At 36.0% G+C, this 19,519-nt stretch overlaps 1 protein-coding gene across 28 annotated transcripts in view; it reads right to left on the bottom strand.

Annotated features, from left to right (window-relative positions):
• The window catches only part of EVI5 (ecotropic viral integration site 5), a 283,715-nt gene that overhangs the window by 145,215 nt on the left and 118,981 nt on the right, over positions 1-19,519 (bottom strand). For 19 of the 28 annotated variants that reach the window (XR_001737401.2, NM_001377211.1, NM_001350197.2 and 16 more), the window contains 3 exons: positions 12,029-12,082; positions 9,510-9,542; positions 8,809-8,955 (listed from right to left, as the gene is read on the bottom strand). Coding sequence is in view for 27 of the 28 variants with exons in the window: in NM_001377211.1 (NP_001364140.1) it covers positions 8,809-8,955; positions 9,510-9,542; positions 12,029-12,082 (234 nt within the window). In the remaining variant the exon portion in view is untranslated. The remainder of the gene's footprint in view (positions 1-8,808; positions 8,956-9,509; positions 9,543-12,028; positions 12,083-19,519) is intronic. The other 9 variants (NM_001308248.2, NM_001377212.1, NM_001377210.1 and 6 more) reach the window with 2 other exon arrangements.

The raw sequence follows: 19,519 nt of genomic DNA on the forward strand, positions 1-19,519 counted from the left end.
GCATGACAGGGAGAGAGATTACATTCCTGCCTGCCCGGGCTATGGAACTGGGGTGGCTCCCTGCCTCTCTGCAGAGACCTCAGTGTACTTACCAGGAGCTTCCCTGCCACCCCCACTCAGGTCTTCTGCTTGTGCTCATCATTGGGGAATCCAAGGGCCGGCTTGGCTGTCCATCTCTGCCCTGACTTGTCCCCTGCTAGGGGGTGAGCAGAGAGCTCAAGCCACTGTACATTCCACAGCCCAGCCCATTGCCTGAAGCAACAAAGAACTTCCCCCATTAAACAAAGATCAAGCACCTGTCCATCTGCTTCTGTTGCAGCAGGCTCTTACCCACAACCACCACCTACTGTCCTGGAGGCTGAAATGCACAACCCAACAGAAAATCTGCTGACACAAGTGCACAGTGCTGGGAAATGAGATAAGATTCTTGAGACTTCCGCCATCCCAGCCCTGCAGGAAGCTGTGATACTACTCACACAGCCAGTACACTACTACTACAACTAGCATTTGAGAAAACCACCACACAAAGGCTATCTATATTCAAAGAACTCATACATTCTGCCAAGGAAGCACCCAGAACATACATTGTAGTTATATCCTTCAGAGGAAAAAAATTCCTGTCCAAATGAAAGTAAATTCAAAAATAAGAAGAAAAGATAAGTTTCTCCATATGAGAAGGAAACAGCCAAACAATTCTGGAAGTATAAAGACAGTGTTATGACATTCTCAAAAGATCACACTAAATCTCTAGCAATAGATCCTAACTAAAATGAAATCTCTGAAATACCATATAAAGAATTAAAAATACTGATTTCCAAGAAGCTCAATGAGATCTAAGAGAAAGCTGAATGAAAATCAACACCAAGAAATCTGAAAATCAAGTCTGGAAATGAAAAATTCATTGAAGAAATTATAAAATACAGGTAAAAGCTTTAACAGTAGACTAAACCCAGCAGAAAAAACAATCTCAGAGCTTAAAGACAGGTCTATTGAATTAGTCCAGTCAGACGAAAATAAAGAAAAAATAATTTTCAAAAATGAACAAAGCCTTTGAGAAGTATAGGGGTTATATAAAATGTCTAAACCTACAAGTCATAGGTATTCCTGAGGGAGATGAAAAAGCAAAAAGTTTGGAAAACCTATCTGAGGAAGTAATTGAGGAAAACTCCCTACTCTTGCTAGAGATTTAGACATCCAAATAGAAGATGCTCAGAGAACTCTAGGAAAATACAGTGCAAGAAGGACTTCACCAACACATATACTCATCAGACTAATGACAACATGAAGGAAAAAAAAAAATCCTAAAATCAGCAAGAGAAAGGTGTCTAATCATCAGTAAAGGAAATCCCCTCAGACTAACAGTGGACATACTGGCAGAAACTTTACAAGCCAGAAAAAAAATCACAATCCCATTTTAAGACTTATTAAAGAAAAAAAAAAACCTGTCAACCATGAATTTTTTATCCTGCTAGAACAAGCTTCATAAATGGAGAAAAAGTCTTTCCCAGACAAGCAAATGCTAACAGAATTCATCACCATTAGACCAGCCTTACAAGAAATGTTCAAGTGAGTTCTAAACATGTAAACAAAAGGTCAATACTCAACATCATAAAAACAGACAAAAGTATAAAACTTACAGGTCTTACAAAAAGGATGATCCAGTAATATGCTGCTTACAAGAAACCCACCTAATACAGACTGAAGGAAAAAGGGTAGAAAATGATATCCCACACCAACAGAAACCAAAAGCAGGCAGGAGTAGCTATCTTTGTATCAGATAAAACAGACTTTAAATCAACAACAGTGAAAAAAGACAAGGAAGGTCATTTTAAAATGATAACGGGATAAAGTCAACGGGAAGATGTAACAATCCTAAATATATATGTACCCGATATAGGAGGTACCCAGATTCATAAGACAACTACTACTGGGGCACATGTTCTCAGGACATCCTGAGACAGTGCCTTGGAAACAAAAATAAATAAAAAGAAAAAGAAAAGAAAACCAAAGAAAAACTACTCTATCTAAGAAAAGAGACAGCAAAACAATAATAGAGAAGGACTTCAACACCCCAATGACAGCATTAAAGATCACTGAGACAGGAAATCAACAAAGAAATACTGGACATAAATTGGACTCTAATAGACATTTATAGGACATTCTATTCAACAACCACAGAATATACATTCTTCTCATCAGCACATGAAATGTTCTCTAAGGCAGACCATATTTTAGCCCATGAAACAAGTCTCAATAAATTTTCAAAAATCAAAATCATATCAAGTCTCTTCTTGGACCACAGTGGAATGTAACTAGAAACTGATTCCAAGAAGAACTCTCAAAACTATACAAATACATAAAAATTCACCTGCTCCCAAATCATCTTTGGGTCAGCAACAAAATTAAAATAGAAATCTAAAACTTTTTTGAAACAAATGAACATGGAGACACAACATACAAAAACCTCTGGGATATAGCAAAAGCAGCACCAAGTGGGAAGTCTGCAGCATTATATGCCTAAATAAAAAAACCAGAAGGATCACAAATTAACAACCTGGCATCGTACCTCAAGAACTAGAAAAACAAGAACCTAAAGCAAGCAGAAGAACAGAAATAACAAAGACCATAGCAGAACTAAATGAAACTGAGAACAACAACAACAAAATATACTAAGGATCAAAGAAATGAAAAGTGGGTTCTTTGAAAAAAATAAACAAAACCAATATACTGCTCAATTAACCAAGAAAAGAGAGAAGACCCAAATTAACAAGTGATCAGAAATGAAAAAGGAGACATTACAACTGATACCACAGAAATACAAATGAACAGAGACTACTATGAACATCTCTACACTCACACTAGAAAACCTAGAAGAAAGGGATAAATCCCTGGAAGAATAAAGCTTTCTAAGGCTGAACTAGGAAGAGACAGAAATCCTAAAAAGACTAATAATGAGTAGTGCAATTAAATCAGTAATAACAAATCTCCCAACAAGAACAAGAAGCCCAGGATCAGATGAATTCACAGCCAAATTCTACCATACATACAATGAAGAACTAGTACCAATTCTCCTGAAACTCTTCCAAAAAACATCAAGGAGGGACTCCTCCTTAACTCATTCTATGAAGCCGGCATCACCGTGATACCAGGGAAGGACCCACAAAAATAACAAAACTACAGACCAATATCTCTGATGAACACAGATGCAAAAATCCTCAACAAGATCCTAGCAAACCAAATCCAGCAGCACATCATAAAGATAATATATCACAATCAAGTGGGTCATACTGCAGGGATGCAAGGATGGTTCAACATAAATAAATCAATAACTGTGATTCACCACATAAACAGAACTAAAAACAAAAACTGTATGATCATCTCAACAGATGCAAAAAAAAGCACTTGATAAAATTCGGCATCCCTTCATGATTAAAAACAGAAAAAACCCAACGAAACAAAAACCAAACATACGCCAGGTACGTCGGCTCATGCCTGTAATCCCAGCACTTTGAGAGGCCAAGGCAGGTGGATCGCTTGAGCCCTGGAGTTCAAGGCCAGCCTGGGTAACATGGCGAAAACCCATCTCTACAAAAAATTCAAAAATTAATGAGGTATGGTGGTGTGTGCTTGTAGTCCCAGCTACTCAGGAGGCTAAAGCAGGAGGATCACTTGAACCTGGGAGGTTGAGGCTGCAGTGAGCCATGACTGTGCCACTGTACTCCAGCCTAGGTGACAGAGCAAGATCCTGTTAAAACAAACAAACAAAAAAAAACTAAAAAACCTAGGTTCTCCTTGCATTGTTATGAAGAAATACCTGAGGCTGGGTAATTTATAAAGAAAAGAGGTTTAATAGGCTTATGGTTCTGCAAGCTGTACAGGAAGCACTGGCATTTACTTCTGGGAAGGCTTTTACTCATTGAGGAAGGCGAAGCAGGAGCAGGTATGTCACACAGTGAGAGTGGGAGCAAGAGAGTAGGGGAGGGGGTTGCCACACAGTCTTAAACAATCTGATTTCACAAGGACTCACTCACATGAGGACAGCACCAAGTCATGAGGTCTTTGCCCCATGATCCAAACACATCCCACCAGGTACCACCTCCAACAATGAGGATTACATCTCAACATGAAATCTGGAAGGGAGATCCAAGCCATATCATAGGCATTGAAGGAATATACCTGAAAATAATAAAAACCATATACAACAAACCCACAGCCAACATCATAATGAATGGGGAAAAGTTGAAAGCACTCCTCTAAGATCTGGAACAAGACAAGGATGCTTACTTTCACCACTCTTATTCAACATAGTACTAACAGTCTTAGCCAGAGCAACCAGGAAAGAGAAAGAAATAAAAGATATTCAAATTGGAAAAGAGGAAGTCAAATTATCTGTTTGCTGATGTTATGATCTTATACCTAGAAAACCCTAGAGATTCCTCCAAAAGGCTCTTAGATTTGATAAAAGAATTCATTAAAGTTTCATAAAACCAATGTACAGAATCAGTAACATTTCTGTACACCAATAACAATCAAGCTGAGATCCAAATCTAGAAGTAAATTCCATTGACAACAGCTACAAAAAAATTTAAATACCTGGGAATACTGTTAACCAAGGAGGTGGAAGATCTTTACAAGGAAAACTTCAAAATACTGATGAAATAAATTGCGGATGACACCAACAAATGGAAAAAACATTCCATGCTCATGGATTGGAAGAATCAGTATCATTAAAATGACCATACTGCCCAAAGCAGTCTACAGAGTCAATGTATTTCCTATAAAAATACCAATGTCTTTTTTCACAGTTAGGAAAAAAAAATCCTAAAATTCATATGAAACCAAGAAAGACCCAGAACAGCCAAAGCAATCCTAGGTAGAAAGAACAATACTGGAGATATTGCATTACTTAACTTCAAATTATACTACAAGGCTATAGTAACCAAGACAGCATGGTACTGGTATTAAAAACAGACACACAGATCAAAGAAACAGAACAGAAAACCAGAAATAAAGTCACATACCTACAGTTTCCTGATCTTCAACAAAGTTGATAGAAACATACACTGAGAAAAGGACACCCTATTCAATAAATGGTGCTGGGAAAATTAGCCATATGAAGAAGAATGAAATTGGATTCATATCTCTCATCATTTACAAAATTAACTCAAGATGGATTAAAGAGAAGGAAAAAAATATGGATTAAAGACTTAAACTTAAGACCTGAAAATTTAAAAAGCCTAGAAGAAAACCTGGGAAGAACCTATCTGCTCATTGGCCTAGGCAAAGAATTCATGACTAAGACCTCAAAAGCAAATGCAACAAAAACAAAAATAGACAAATAGGACTTAATTAAACTATAAAGCTTCTGCACAGCAAAAGGAATAATCAACAGAGTGAATAGACAACCTACAGAATGGGAGAAAATATTTGCAAACTACACATAAGACAAAAGACAAATATCCAGAATCTACAAGGAACGCAAACAACTCAACAAGAAAAATAAAACTCCATTAAAAAGTGAGCAAAGGACATGAACAGACTTTTTCAAAAGAAGACATACAAATGGCTAACAAACATATGAAAAAAATGCTCAACATCACTATCATCAGAGAAATTAAAACCACAATGAGATACCATCTTACACCAGTCAGAATGGCTATTAAAAAGTCAGAAAATAACAGATATTGGTGAGGATGTGGAAAAAGGAGGACACATATACACTACTGGTGGGAATGGAAATTAGTACAACCTGTATGACAAATGGTATGGAGATTTCTCAAAGAACTAAAAACAGAACTGCCATTCAGTCCAGCAATCCTACTACTGGGTATCTACCCAAAGGAAAAATCATTATATCAAAGATACCTGTACTCATATATTTCTTGTAGATTTATTCACAACAGCAAAGATATGGAATCAACCTAAGTATCCATTGATGGATGACTGAATACAAAAAAATGGTGTGTATATACACCATGAAATATTACTCAGCCATTAAAAAGAATGAAATTATGTGTTTTGGAGCAACATGGATAAAACTAGAGGATATTATCTTAAGTAAAATAACTCAGAAAGTCAAATATTGCATACCGTCACTTATAAATGAGAAATAATGTATACACATGGACATAGAGCATAGAATAATAGACACTGGAGACTCAGAAAGGTAACATGGTGAGAGGCGGTGAGGAATGAGAAATTAACTCATGGATACAATATATACTATTCAGCTGATGGTTACACTAAAAGCCCAGACTCCACTACTATGAAATATATCCATGTAACAAAATGCACTTGGATCCCCTAAATGTATAAAAATAACACTATTGAGCCATTTTAAAAAATGAAATTGTCATTTGTGACAACATGGATGAACCTGGAGGACATTATGTTAAGTGAAATAAGCCAGACACAGAAAGACAAATACCACATGATCTCACTCATATGTGGAATCTAAAAAAGTTGATCTCATAGAAACTGAGAATACAATAGTGGTTACTAGAGACTAGGGAGGGAATTGGGAACATGGTGATGGGAAGAGAATGGTCAACAGGTATGAGTTACAGTTAGATAGGAAGAATAAATTCTGGTGTTACATTGCACAGTAGAGTGACTATAGTTAACAATAACGTATTGTATATTTGAAAATAGCTAGAAGAGGGGATTTTGAATGTTCTCACCACAAAGGAATGTTCGAGGCAATCAATGTGTTAGCTAATTACTCTGATTTGATGTGTCAATTAAAAATAAAACTTTCAAAAATCATCAAAAAAGTGAATAGATATGCTAAGTGAAAGAAGCCAGACATAAAAGTCACATACCTTACAATTCTATTTATTTGAAATTCTAGAAGAGGTAAAACTATAGTGAAAGAAAGCACACAGGTTGCTGGGGTTGGGGGGTGGTGAACCATAAAGGGAATGATAGAAATATTATTTGTTTTGATTGTGGTAGTGTTTCATAACTACATACATTTCCAACACATCAAGCTACATACCTACATTTGATGAATTTTATTACATATAAATTATACTTTAATAAAGTTAATTTTAAAAGTGAAAGAGAGAGACCTGAGAAGGTCTAGCCCTATTTAATCATTTGGGAAAAAACACACACACACACACAAAACTGTCTTTGAGTATACAAGATCACATAGTTGGCAAAACAGGACTAGAATCTAGTTCCATAAATAAAATCCAAAGCTCTTTATATCATATAAATTGCCACTATTTGGCAGTAGGGAGTGGTGGCGGTGGATGCTTATATTGGTAATTCAATACCTCCTGCTGGAATACAAATTTAAAACCCTTATTCTGAAACTTTGAAGAATTCATAAAGTTATATTGGAAGGCTATAATTAAAACAATGAGCAACAGATGTTCACTTTCTAGCCGTAATATGCTCATTCACTTTATTATGGCCATTTTTGCTCACCAAGTTAAATTTTTCACTATAAACCAGCATTCTATCCCTTTGATATACATCTATCAATAAGTCTCAATATTTGAAAAACAATGTAAAAAATTTAATTCATGATTCTAATGTATTATGACTGTAGCTTATGCTAAATGCAAACAATACTTATTGTGTTTTCTTTAGAAAATCACATTGAAGTAACTTATTTCAGGTAAATTCCTAATATAAATCCACAATTGTTTTTTTCTTTTTAATGCTTTGATATTATTGACATTACATACAAAAGTGGAGCAAAATATGAGTTCCCTTCTTTTTAGTATTATTTTGTCACTCTCCTATTCATTTTTCTTAGCAATCTTCAATAACAGAAAAAAAAAGATGTTTATGACCCTTTCAACTGCCAATTTTTCTTTTTGCTTCTGGTTTTCTGATTTTTTTGTACCGAGATGACGATGCTGTTTCTTAATTTTATTGAATAAAAAGAACGTCCTACTTTGCAGTCACTCTATTTGCCTTCCAGATCTGCATAGAGTTCCAGGATTAACACAACTTCTTCTGCTTACTTATTACAATCTAGCGCCTACTTGAGGATGGAAAACTGAAACAAGAAATAATATGTTTTCAAAGATAAACAGTTGGCTTTTCTTTTACCCTCATATTCCTGATTAAGATCGCCCTTGTCTGAATTTGCCAATGGAAAATGTCTAAGCTGCAAAAGATACCTGAGGCTAGATGTACAATTAGTAGCTGTTTAGTACGCACCCTAGGTTGATTAAGATAATTAGAAATACACCCTAGGTTAATTAAGATAATTTTTAAAGGGTTAATCTTTTTCATCTTTGCAACTTCTCTCCCTTTGAAATATAGGCATACACCTTAACCCATAATTCAATGTCTTGATGTAGGAAGTCTAAGCAATAGTATTTCGTAAGACACAAATTGCCACACTGTCGAAGCTTTAAATGAGATAACTGCATATATTCTGCATGCTGGATAATGTTTCATCTGTACAATGAACAAAAACTAGCTGAAGTTGGGATTTAAAAATTACTGTTAGCAAAATGATACCTATTATGAAAACAGATTTCTAAAAACTTAAAAGCAATTCTGACATACACTGCTTATTTCCCATTACTTAAAACACAGTGTAAGGAAAGAAAATATTACCTATTTCTAACAAAACTATGTAGACAGAAAAAAAATTAGAACAGGAGTCCTTAGGCCACAATAAGACCCCTAAATATCACAGAACATAAAATTGTATAATTTAAAAGTTCAAAGTCTAAAACAAAATTATTTAAAACAACAGCACAAAATCTGTGCTATGAAAAAAAAAATGATTGAAAGGAAGGGGGATGAGAAAGATGAGAAAAGCACTACCAGACTCCTTACCCATTGTTGTTGGTGCTGGAGCTTCCTGATGGTATTTTCAGCTTGCTCCAGCTTAGCACTGGCCTCATCACTCTGCTGTTTGATGGTGGCCAACTCCCGTTTTATGAGGTAGTTTTCCTCAGCCTCCTGGGCTCTTGTCACTTGTCCCTTAGGACATAATTTTTGTGTGTGTAAAGCAATTTAGGATAGATTCAAGAAAGACTGCCTTTGTGAGGTTTAGTTATTTACTTTGACATGTTAAAAAAAAAAAAAAAGTCACCTCAGCGAATAGAACAGCCTACGTAATCATTAGCTAGCAGCTTGTTATTGCTCCAGCAAATTTTCGGAAACTAAACGAAAAATTCACCTGACAAGAACAATTCTTTCAGTCAATAAAAATTTAATTCATGCAATATTACTGAGTTGTACATGCAGGACTAAAATTTTCAATGAATAGTAGTTAATTTCACAGAATCCACTTATTGCCATTTTGAAATAAATACTTTAAAAAATAAGGTTAGCTTTAAAACGTGCAAAAATAAACCAAGATAACACCTTGTTACAAAAAATTAAATTTATACCCACATATACCACCCAAAAAATTATTTCTAGAAAAACGCATGTAAAATTGCATGCATTAAAATATGAATTTCGAGGTTTAGGACTTTCCTTAGAAGTTAGAGAAGATGTTTTAAAAAACTAAAACAAAACAAAAACTATACCTGTATCAATCTATCTGCCAAGGAAGCACTTTCCTACAAAAGGAAAAATTCAGATAGAAATATAAGAGAAAGAAATAAAAGTGATAAAATTAGGAAAAAAGAAACAAATATACCCAAATTCCATCTACTTTTCATTGCTAATTAAAATGGACATTTAAAGTTTAAAACCATTTTTTACTGAATGTTTTTATTTTTAAACCTTAAGAAAAATATATAAAAACAAGGATAGGTGGTTGAAAATCATGTGTTTCCAGAAGATACCAAACACAAATTCCAAGTGGGTTTTCATTACCTGGAACAAGCAAATTTTTTTGTTTGTTTGTTTTGTTTTTTTAAAATAGAGACAGGGTCTCACTCTGTCACCCAGGCTAGAATGCAATGGCATCATCATGTAGCTCATTGTAACTGCCAACTCCTCGGCTCAAGGAGTTGGTCCTTCTGCTTCAGCCTCCTGAGCAGCTAGGACTACAGGTGTGTGCCACCACATGTAGCTAGTTTTAAAATTTTTTGTAGAGATACAGTCTTGCTATGTTACCCAGGCCAATCTTGAACTCCTGGCCTTACGCAATCCTCTTGTCTCAGCCTCCCGAAGTGCGGGGATCATAGGCGTGAGCCACTGCACTCAGTCAAATATTTCCTCTTCCTCTTTTGGTATATTTACATCTTTTAGACTTAATCCATATTGTCAACCCACTTACATGAAAGGGAGAAGGAATTTGAGTAAGCAATTCCAATTATAAAGTGTGACAGCAATTTGTGCAACCACAACTTTCAAAGAAACAAAGCAAGGAAAATATGACAAATAAAATTAATGAGCTAAACTTAAACTTTAGCAATAACTGAGAAAGTATACTTTTTTATTACAGAATTCAATTGATACATAGTATTTATAGAATTCTAAGTGCTAAGTGACACATCTGGGCCATCTAAGCCAATAAAAAAAGGAACTTAATTTTCTAGAAGCAAAATCCAAACTTAACACTTTCTTACAGCATCATTCTCATTCCGAAGGTTCAATGAAATATTATAATCCTTTCCCAGTTTAAATGTCTTACTCCAAAGATTTAAAAAAAAAAAAAAACTAAGAAGATGCATATTTGACTGTAAGCTAGATATTTAGTGGGAAAAAAGAGTATATAATTAAAACAACTTAAAAGCAAGCTCAATCTTCCTGTGGAGTCACCAAAAGTAGAATTACTCTCATAGCAACCCTAACATGATGAGAGAAAAACAGGGAAACTATTTTTGACTTAATATGATGTATCTGCAATTATTATACAACAAAGGCAGACATGTAATAAATATCCTGTCCTTACGCACTTCTATTTAATATGAAATCATCAATACTTTTCAAACAAACGACAAATACTGCAAAATATCCATATTTCCATTTATTTATTTCTTGATTGTAGATTTTCAGGGAAGATTTTAAGATCCTTGGCAATATGATGAGGGGTATGTTTAAATCTACTTACTCTTATCTCTAGTTAAAGAAAGAAAAAAGTGGCTGGGCACGGTGGCTCATGCTTGTAATCCCAGCACTTTCGGAGGCCGAGGCAGGCGGATCACGAGGTCAAGAGATCAAGATCATCTTGGCCAACATGGTGAAACCCTGTCTCTACCAAAAATACAAAAATTAGCTAGGCGTGGTGGCGCACGCCTATAATCCCAGCTACTCAGGAGGCTGAGGCAGGAGAATCCCTCGAACCTGGGAGGAGGAGGCTGCAGTGAGCCAAGATTGAGCCACTGCACTCCAGCCTGGGCAACAGAGCGAGACTCTCTCTCAAAAAAATAAAAAAGAAAAAGAAAAAAGCACCAAAAGAGTTTGTGAATTCAGATGTCTTTCTTTTAATAAAGCAAAATTCTTAAACCATACTTTTACTACTCAATTCATTCTTATAGCATCTGTAAATGACTACAAAAGATTTTTCATCAAAAGCACACTATGAAAAATAATGCAAAATTTCCATATTTGCCCACTCTATATAAAACAGAGAAAATGTAACAAGTAGATACTAAAATAATTATAAGAACTAAAAGTTTATGCACAATTCCTTTGTGCTGAAAATCAACATGAGTGAATTTTTATATAAGGAATCAGTCACTTCGACTAAAAGCAATCCTAGGCCTTAAAGGAATCACTGCCACACTTCCAATATGCTAGAAAGTCCAGGGCAACATTTGAAACTCATCTTTAAAATGCTATATCAGAATGGACTCCCAACTAAATTATAAAAGAACATACTTTTTAGAAATTATGTGTAAAGAAAACAAATAGTATCAATATGTTACTGTTAATCTCAGTTAAAACCTGAATACTAAAGTTTAAGAACCAGTACAACTGATCAATTTTTATTAGTAACAAGTTATCTGGCTAAATAAATAGTAAGGTAAGCAAGCTAAGCAGTCAATACTACAACATAGGAGACATGTGCCAGAATTTTTGAGGATTTTTAATAAATATACAGAAAAAACACCAGGCATTCAACAGAAGCTTGCATAAGTAGTCACTTACTTACTTTTTCTAATGTCTCGATGCGCTGTTTTAAAAGTCTATTTTCTGTGCGTAACCTCTGCCAAGAAAAAAAAAGTTTTATTTGCAAGCATTTTTGAGAGGAAAAAAAAGATTTCTAAATCACAGTCCTGAAAATGTATCACCTTTTATAAATAAGAAAGGAGTCTAAGGAATGATTACATTATCAAATGTCAAAGACTCAGAGTAAGAAATACACAGAAGGCAGGGCACCATGGTTCACGCCTGTAATCCCAGCTCTTTGGGAGGCCAAGGCCGGCAGATGGCTTGAGCTCAGAAGTTCCAGATGAGCCTGAGTCTGGGCAACATGGCGAAACCTCGTCTCTATGAAAACTACACACACACACAATTTAGCCAGGAATGGTGGTGATGAGCCTGGGCAACAGGGTGAAACCTTGTCTCTATGAAAAACACACACACACACATGCATGCATGCACACACATACACACACAGAATGGTGGTGCGAATCTGTCGTCCCAGCTACCTGGGAGGCTGAGGTGGGAGGCTGGGAGGTGGGGGCTGAGGTGGGGGGCTGGGAGGTGGGGGCTGAGGTGGGGGTGGTGGAAGTTGTAGTGAGCCGAGATTGGACCACTGTACTCCGGCCTGGGAGACAGAGTGAAACCCTGTGTCCAAAAAAGGGAGGGGAGGGGAGGGGAAGGGAGGGGTTGGGAGGGGAGGGAAGGGGAGAAGAAAGGAAAGGAAAGAGGAAAAAGAAAAGGAAAAAGAAGGGAAAGGAAAGGGATAAAGAAAGAGAAATAAATACACCACAGCAAAGGAAATACTCACATTCATCATTCCAGCTGTGATTAAATTTAAATACACTCTACAGTACATATAGAAATAAGCCCTTCCATTTCTATACATACTTACCATAATGACTCATAATCAAATATTTTCTTATGTGTTTTAACATCCTCATTAGACAAAAAAGATTCTAACTTGCCTACCTCCAACAGAGCCTACCTATATAATTAATATTCAAATGTCAGTTGAATGAAGAAACAGGAGATCTAAAAAATGCACGTTCATAGGCTAAACATCAAATTTTCCATTTAGGGCCTGGCTCAGTGGCTCACACCTGCAATCCACTTTGGGAGACCAGGCAGGTGGATCACTTGAGCTTGAGTTCAAGACCAGCCTGGACAACATGGCAAAACCCTGTCTCTACAAAAAATATAAAAATTAGCTGGGCGTAGTGGCATGTGCCTGTAGTCCCAGCTATTCAGGAGGCTCAGGGGGAAGACGGCCTCAGCCCTGGAAGTGGAGGTTGCAGTGAGCCAGTATCACATCACAGCATTCCATCCTGGGCAACAGAGCAAGACCTTGTCTCAAATTTAAAAAAAAAAAATTGCCCATTTAGACTTCAATAGTCTCCATTTATTATACAGTATAGATGACAAGTTGCAAAATTCTGAAAATACAAAGAATTTATTAATTTTTTCTGAGAAAACAACTCCAATTACTAGTATCTCCTCATAGTTCAAAAAGTAAAACCAGATTTTTTTGAAAAGCACTTTACCTAATTATTCAATGCCTGGTTCCCAAAAAACTTGTCTAATTACTGTCATTAAGTATTAAATCCAAGTCACTCTACATTTTTAAAAAGTTATTTTTGCATATCCACCAGTATAATTGCTTATTAATCCCCTTTATAAGTTATCTTTTCATTTTCAAATTCCTCAGATGTTGTCCCACTCTGTCGCCCAGGCTGGAATGCAGTGGTGCGATCTCAGCTCATTGCAACCTCTGCCTCCCAGGTTCAAGCGATTCTCCTGACTCAGCCTCCTGAGTAGCTGGACCTACAGGCACATGCCACCACGCTCAGCTAATTTTTTGTATTTTTAGTAGAGAGGGGGTTTCACCGTGTTAGCCAGGATGGTCTTGATCTCCTGACCTCATGATCCGCCCGCCTCAGCCTCCCAAAATGCTGGGATTACAGGCATAAGCCTCTGTGCCCGGCCTCAAGGTGATAACTTACTTTTTTGTACCAATTTGTTCCAGAACTCAATCAAGGGCCTTCTTCCAGCCCCACCTTCCTATAAATTTCTGCTAAAAAATGTCTGTCTCAGAAAATTCTTCCATCAATTCAACCTATTATTTTGCCAGTAAAGACTTAAATATGGCTTTATATAACATATAAAGTATTAGTTCAGGGAAATGAGAGACTCTATGAATTACTGCATCTTATTAAAGTGGATCACAAATTGAAACAAATCTTAGAGTTATTACAAAGATACTTGGCAAATTAGATTTCTTGTTCTATTCACTAAAATTCAGATGATCTGAAATAGACATTATGATATACAGGAAAGTTAATAACTAATCTCAGACAAAATAACAGCTTGAGAAGTAGAAAATGTTCTTATGTCTTGGCTCCTCCTACTGTGTGCAGCATAGTAGTCTACACAAATAAGCAATTATTAAATGCTGCTAAAGTCTAGAGAGCCAAAGAAATAAATGGGATTCTCAAAATGTTCTCAATCATATTTCATCAACAAAAGGTAATGTTTTATCTTAAAAGATTTAGAAAACTAAGTTCCCACCAGACAACTGAGTGAATAAAGTTATGACAGAAATCATGCTAAAATAAAATTTAGAACTGAAAACACTCATCTGGATTTCCTTCCCCAACCCCTTTTACGGCTTCTGAAATCTATTTCATTATAAATAAAAATCTAAATTGATTTTCTCCCACAAACAACTAACCAAATGCTTAACACCATTTAAAAAATAAATCACCACTTCCTCATTTGTATAATATTTACATCAGGAATTGATCAATAGACTTTTTCAGTTAATACAGACCATTTCAGGGTTACTTTTACGTTTCAAGTGTTACTGTCTTCTTTTTTTAAAACTAATATCACAGTATTTTGGTAATTATAGCTTTGCTATCTGTTTTAATACCTAGTAGAGCTAATATCCCCTGTTCTTACATTTGTTTATTGTTCCCAAACCCCAAATACTAGTATACTAAAGTAGCTAAGAGACTAGGTTTTGAAGTTAGGCAGATTTAAGTTCAAATTCTCATTCTACAATTAACACTTGCACATGACATTCAATGTTTTAGAATCTCCATTTCCTCATCCAGAAATTAAGAGTAATCAAACCTACAGGGAACTGAAAAATTAAATGAGATAGCATAGCACCTAATATATGCCAAATACTCAGTTAATGATAAGCACTGCCCACAATAGTTTTGAAGTTAGGCATGAATATTATTTTACTACTTTTGTCTATTTTTAGAATTATTCTTAAGATTTTTTTATTGCCCTGGAATTTTACAAGGAATTAAATTTCACTGAATTTGAGGGCCAGGTACAATGGTTTACAGCTGTAATCCCAGAACTTTGGGAGGCCAAGGCAGGTGGATCACTTGAGGCCAGAAGTTCGAGACCAGCCAGGCCAACATGGCAAAACCCCATCTCTACTAAAAATACAAAAATCAGCCTGGCATGGTGGCGCATGCCTGTAATCCCAGCTACTTAGGAGGCTGAGGCAGGAGAATCACTTGAATCCAGGAGGTGAAGGTTGCAGTGAGCCAAGACCATGCCACTGCACTCCGGCCTGGGCAACGGAGCAAGGCTCTGTCTCAAAAAAAAAAAAAATCACTGGGAAATTCATATCTTTATATAACATGGAGCTATTTTTGTCTATCTTTAGTTATCTTTTTAAAATGTCTGTGTGTAAAGTTTTCCAGTGTTTGTTAGGTCCTATTCTATTTTTCATTTAGGTTACTCCTAGATATACTTTTATTTTTATTTCAAATGGAACTTCTTCCAGTATATTTTTGAACTGTTTATTGACGATACATAGAAAGGTTAATAACTAAAATCTACCACCTGATTGATTCTCAATAATTCTTCAATATCTTCCTCACATTTTCTAGAATAGAGTGCTTCCTAAACTTTAAAGTGAAAACCACAGAGAGGAAGATACCTAGATATAGCTACATACAAATGTTTATCTTGTACATTGAAAAAGAAAATAGAGACAATTTTTTGACCTACCAAATTAGAAAAAAAAGAGACTAAAAGTGAGAGCAAGAATGAAATACTTAGTGTTGGCAAAGTAGTCATTAAATGGAAACTTGTTGCTAAGACAAACATACCCTGGACACATTCTTTAGGAAATTTACGTATTATACATCAAAAGTCTTTAAAATGCTAATATCTTGTAACTTATTAATTCTACTTTTTATAACTGGCTATGGAAATAATAATAGGAGACAAAAAACTTGTTATATACAAAGATGTTAACCATTAGCATTATTTTTAATAAGAAAAACTGAAAACAACCTTATATCCTGAAATAGGATAATCTCATTTCAAATAACCCACTCTTCAATCACTATTTCCTATTCTTTCCAGCTTACTCAGTTTACAAAGTAACCCAACCCCAACAATTGTTTTCACTGAGACAGTCTAGTGATCCCAACAACTTTTCACTGTCCCTCAATCCTTGATGTTCTCTATTCCTTCTTGACAAAGTTTAATTTGCAATCATTATACGGCTCCCTTGCTTTTAAGCCCCCTTGCCCTTCTCTCCCTTCGTAGTATAACTGCCTGGAAAAAACACTACTCTGGATCAACTATCTGACAATTTTGAGTCTGTACCTATGCCAGTAAATATGACTGAACAAAAACAAAACCATGACGTTTATTTAAATTACTGATCACTAAATTCAATATGGTTCTTAGCAATAATAATGTCCTTCTTCTATCCCCCTAGGTCACTATTTCATACCTATTCCTCTTTCTTCAAACCAGCAACCCTCCAATCCATTGTCTCTCAGTTGATAATCTGGCATATGATTTCACTGAAAAAAACTGAGGCAATTAGAAGAGAATTTCACAAGCTCCCAAAACCACATCCTACATCCTACCTGCATTTTTGCCCATATATTTTGATTTCTTGTTATTGTGTATTAACTACTCATGCTAGCATACTAAGTTACATCTCCTAACTTCGCACTAAATTCCGTATCTTCCTGACTCCAGTGATTATCCCCCATTCTTAATGATAAATTTTTCCTACTTGATTATCACCATAAAAGCATGCAGTTATTTCTCCTATCTTAAAAAAAAAACAGAAAACAGAAACAAAAAATTCAACATAATTACCCTCTCTAGCTACTGTCCCATTTCTTTTATCCTTATAGTAAATTCCTTGAAAAATATCTCTAATTTTTCTTCTTCTATTCCAGTTAGGTTTTAGTACCTACCATTCTGCTCCACTCGTTTCTAGGATAAATTATAATCATGCTGGAAAATGCAATGGTCATTTCTCCATCCTCATTTCACAAAAACTCTTCAGTATTTGACATGGTAAATCCTTCTCTCTTTCTCACTGTCTCTTGGCTTCTGGGAACTACACCTACCTGGTTTTCTCCTAGTTTGCTACTTTCTACTTGTCTTCCTCATCTTTAAATGTTGGTTTATTCTCAGGCTCAATTCTTGAATTCTTCTCTATTTTATCTACAATCCTTTCCCAAGTAATCTCACCCATTCTCATGGCTTTCAATACTATGACCCCGCCAATAACTACCAAATTTATATTTTGAGCTTGGCTTCTTTTAATTTCAGATCTGAATATTTAAGAAGCTAACTGGACATCTCCTAGGCATCTCATTCCCAAGATACCCAAAATTGGGCTCCTGGTATCCCCACTAAACCAAATCCTTCTGGAGTCTTTCCCATCTCAGGTAATGGGAACACCATTTATCTACCTGCTCAGACCACAAGGCTTGGTTCCTCCTCCTCACACATCTCTACATTCTAGCTGTCCACTTTATATTTGAAATCTATTCAGAATCCAATTACTTCTTACCTCAGTCCAAGCCACCATCATCTTTTTTTTTTTTTTTTAAGACAGGATTTCACTCTGTCACCCAGGAAGGAATGCAGTGGCATGATCACAGCTCACTGCAGCCTCAAATTCCCTGGTTCTAGTGATCCTCCTTCCTCCGCCTCCTGAGTAGCTAGGACTACAGGCATGCACCACCATGCCTGGCAATTTGAAAAAAAAAATTTGTGGAGACAGGGGCCCACTATGTTGCCCAGGCTGGTCTTGAACTCCTGGGCTCAAGGAATCCGCCCACCTTGGCCTCCCTAAGTGCTGGGATTACAGGCATAAGCCACCCTGATGGTAGGCATGCCTGGCCCACCATCATCTTTTGTCTGCATTACCACATCAGCGTTCATCAGAAATGCTCTCAATCCCTGCAATTTACTCTTAACACAGCAACCAGAATGATCTACTGAACTTAAATCACATTTTGTCCTTCTCTGCTGAAAACTGCCATCTAACCAGAGTAAAAGCCAAAGTCCTTACCACTGTCGACAACATCCTACATTATCTGCAACCTGCTCCATCTTACTTCCTACCACTTTTCTCATCATTCATGCTGTCCCATCCACAATGCCACCTTACTGCTCCTCACCAGGCACACCCCGAATAGGTTCTGCCATTCTTCCAGATAGTCACATATCTAGTCCCATCACTTCCTTCAGGTCTTTTTTCAAAAATCACCTGGTTAACTTCTCTAAATTTTCTACCCAAACACTACCATTTTACATTCTCTTTCCCTGAGGTTATTTTTTCTCCTTAAGACTTTACCACCATCCAAAATACCGTACATTTGACTTTTCTGTTTATTGTTATTTCCATATTAAAATATAATCTCCATGAGGACAGATCATGGTCTACTTCATAACCACATTTCAAGTGCCTAGAACAGTGCTTGGGCATCTAGGAGGCACTATGAATTATCTGTTAAATGAAGTGTTATTGAATAAATCAGGCTAGCATACCTCCCTTGGATATTATGTAGCCATTAGTTTTTTTAATGAAAAGTTTGATATGCCAGAGAAAAATGGGCATCCAAATCTTACATCACAAATATATCAAAGTCTCTCTTGGAAAGCAGCAGCAGCACAGTGTATATACTGAAGAATACACATGGGCCTTAGAATAACACAAATCAGACTTCAAATCCTTGACTCTGTTTCCTCGCAATGTGACCACTGGCATAATATTTGAGCTTTCTGAAGCCTAATTTCTTCACAGGTAAGGATAAGAACCCTTTAATAATGCTGTTTTAAGAATAAGGGGAAATAATGCATGTAAGTGACCCATCATATATTAAGGGCTAAATAAATGTGAGCTTCAATTCTAATACTTCACATTGATTGTTAAAATGTAATTCCTGGGCAACTTAGATAACACTTCTCTTTTTTTTTTTTTTTTTCATTTTTATGCCAGGCAGTGAATATGTGAGCACTTTTATATTATTTTCTGGCTTTCAGCATATCTGAAATGTACCATAGTTTTTAAACAGGAAAAAATACTTTACTTTTGACTAAAAACTGGCCAGAATTTCTCATACTTCTCATTTTAGGGCTTTAGATCTCTGCGTCCCGAAGCACAAATTTAAATATAAAAATTAGATTAACTGTTCGTATGTCTATCAGAATC

Source organism: Homo sapiens, chromosome 1 (assembly GCF_000001405.40).
Source record: "Homo sapiens chromosome 1, GRCh38.p14 Primary Assembly".
Taxonomy (NCBI): domain Eukaryota; kingdom Metazoa; phylum Chordata; class Mammalia; order Primates; family Hominidae; genus Homo; species Homo sapiens.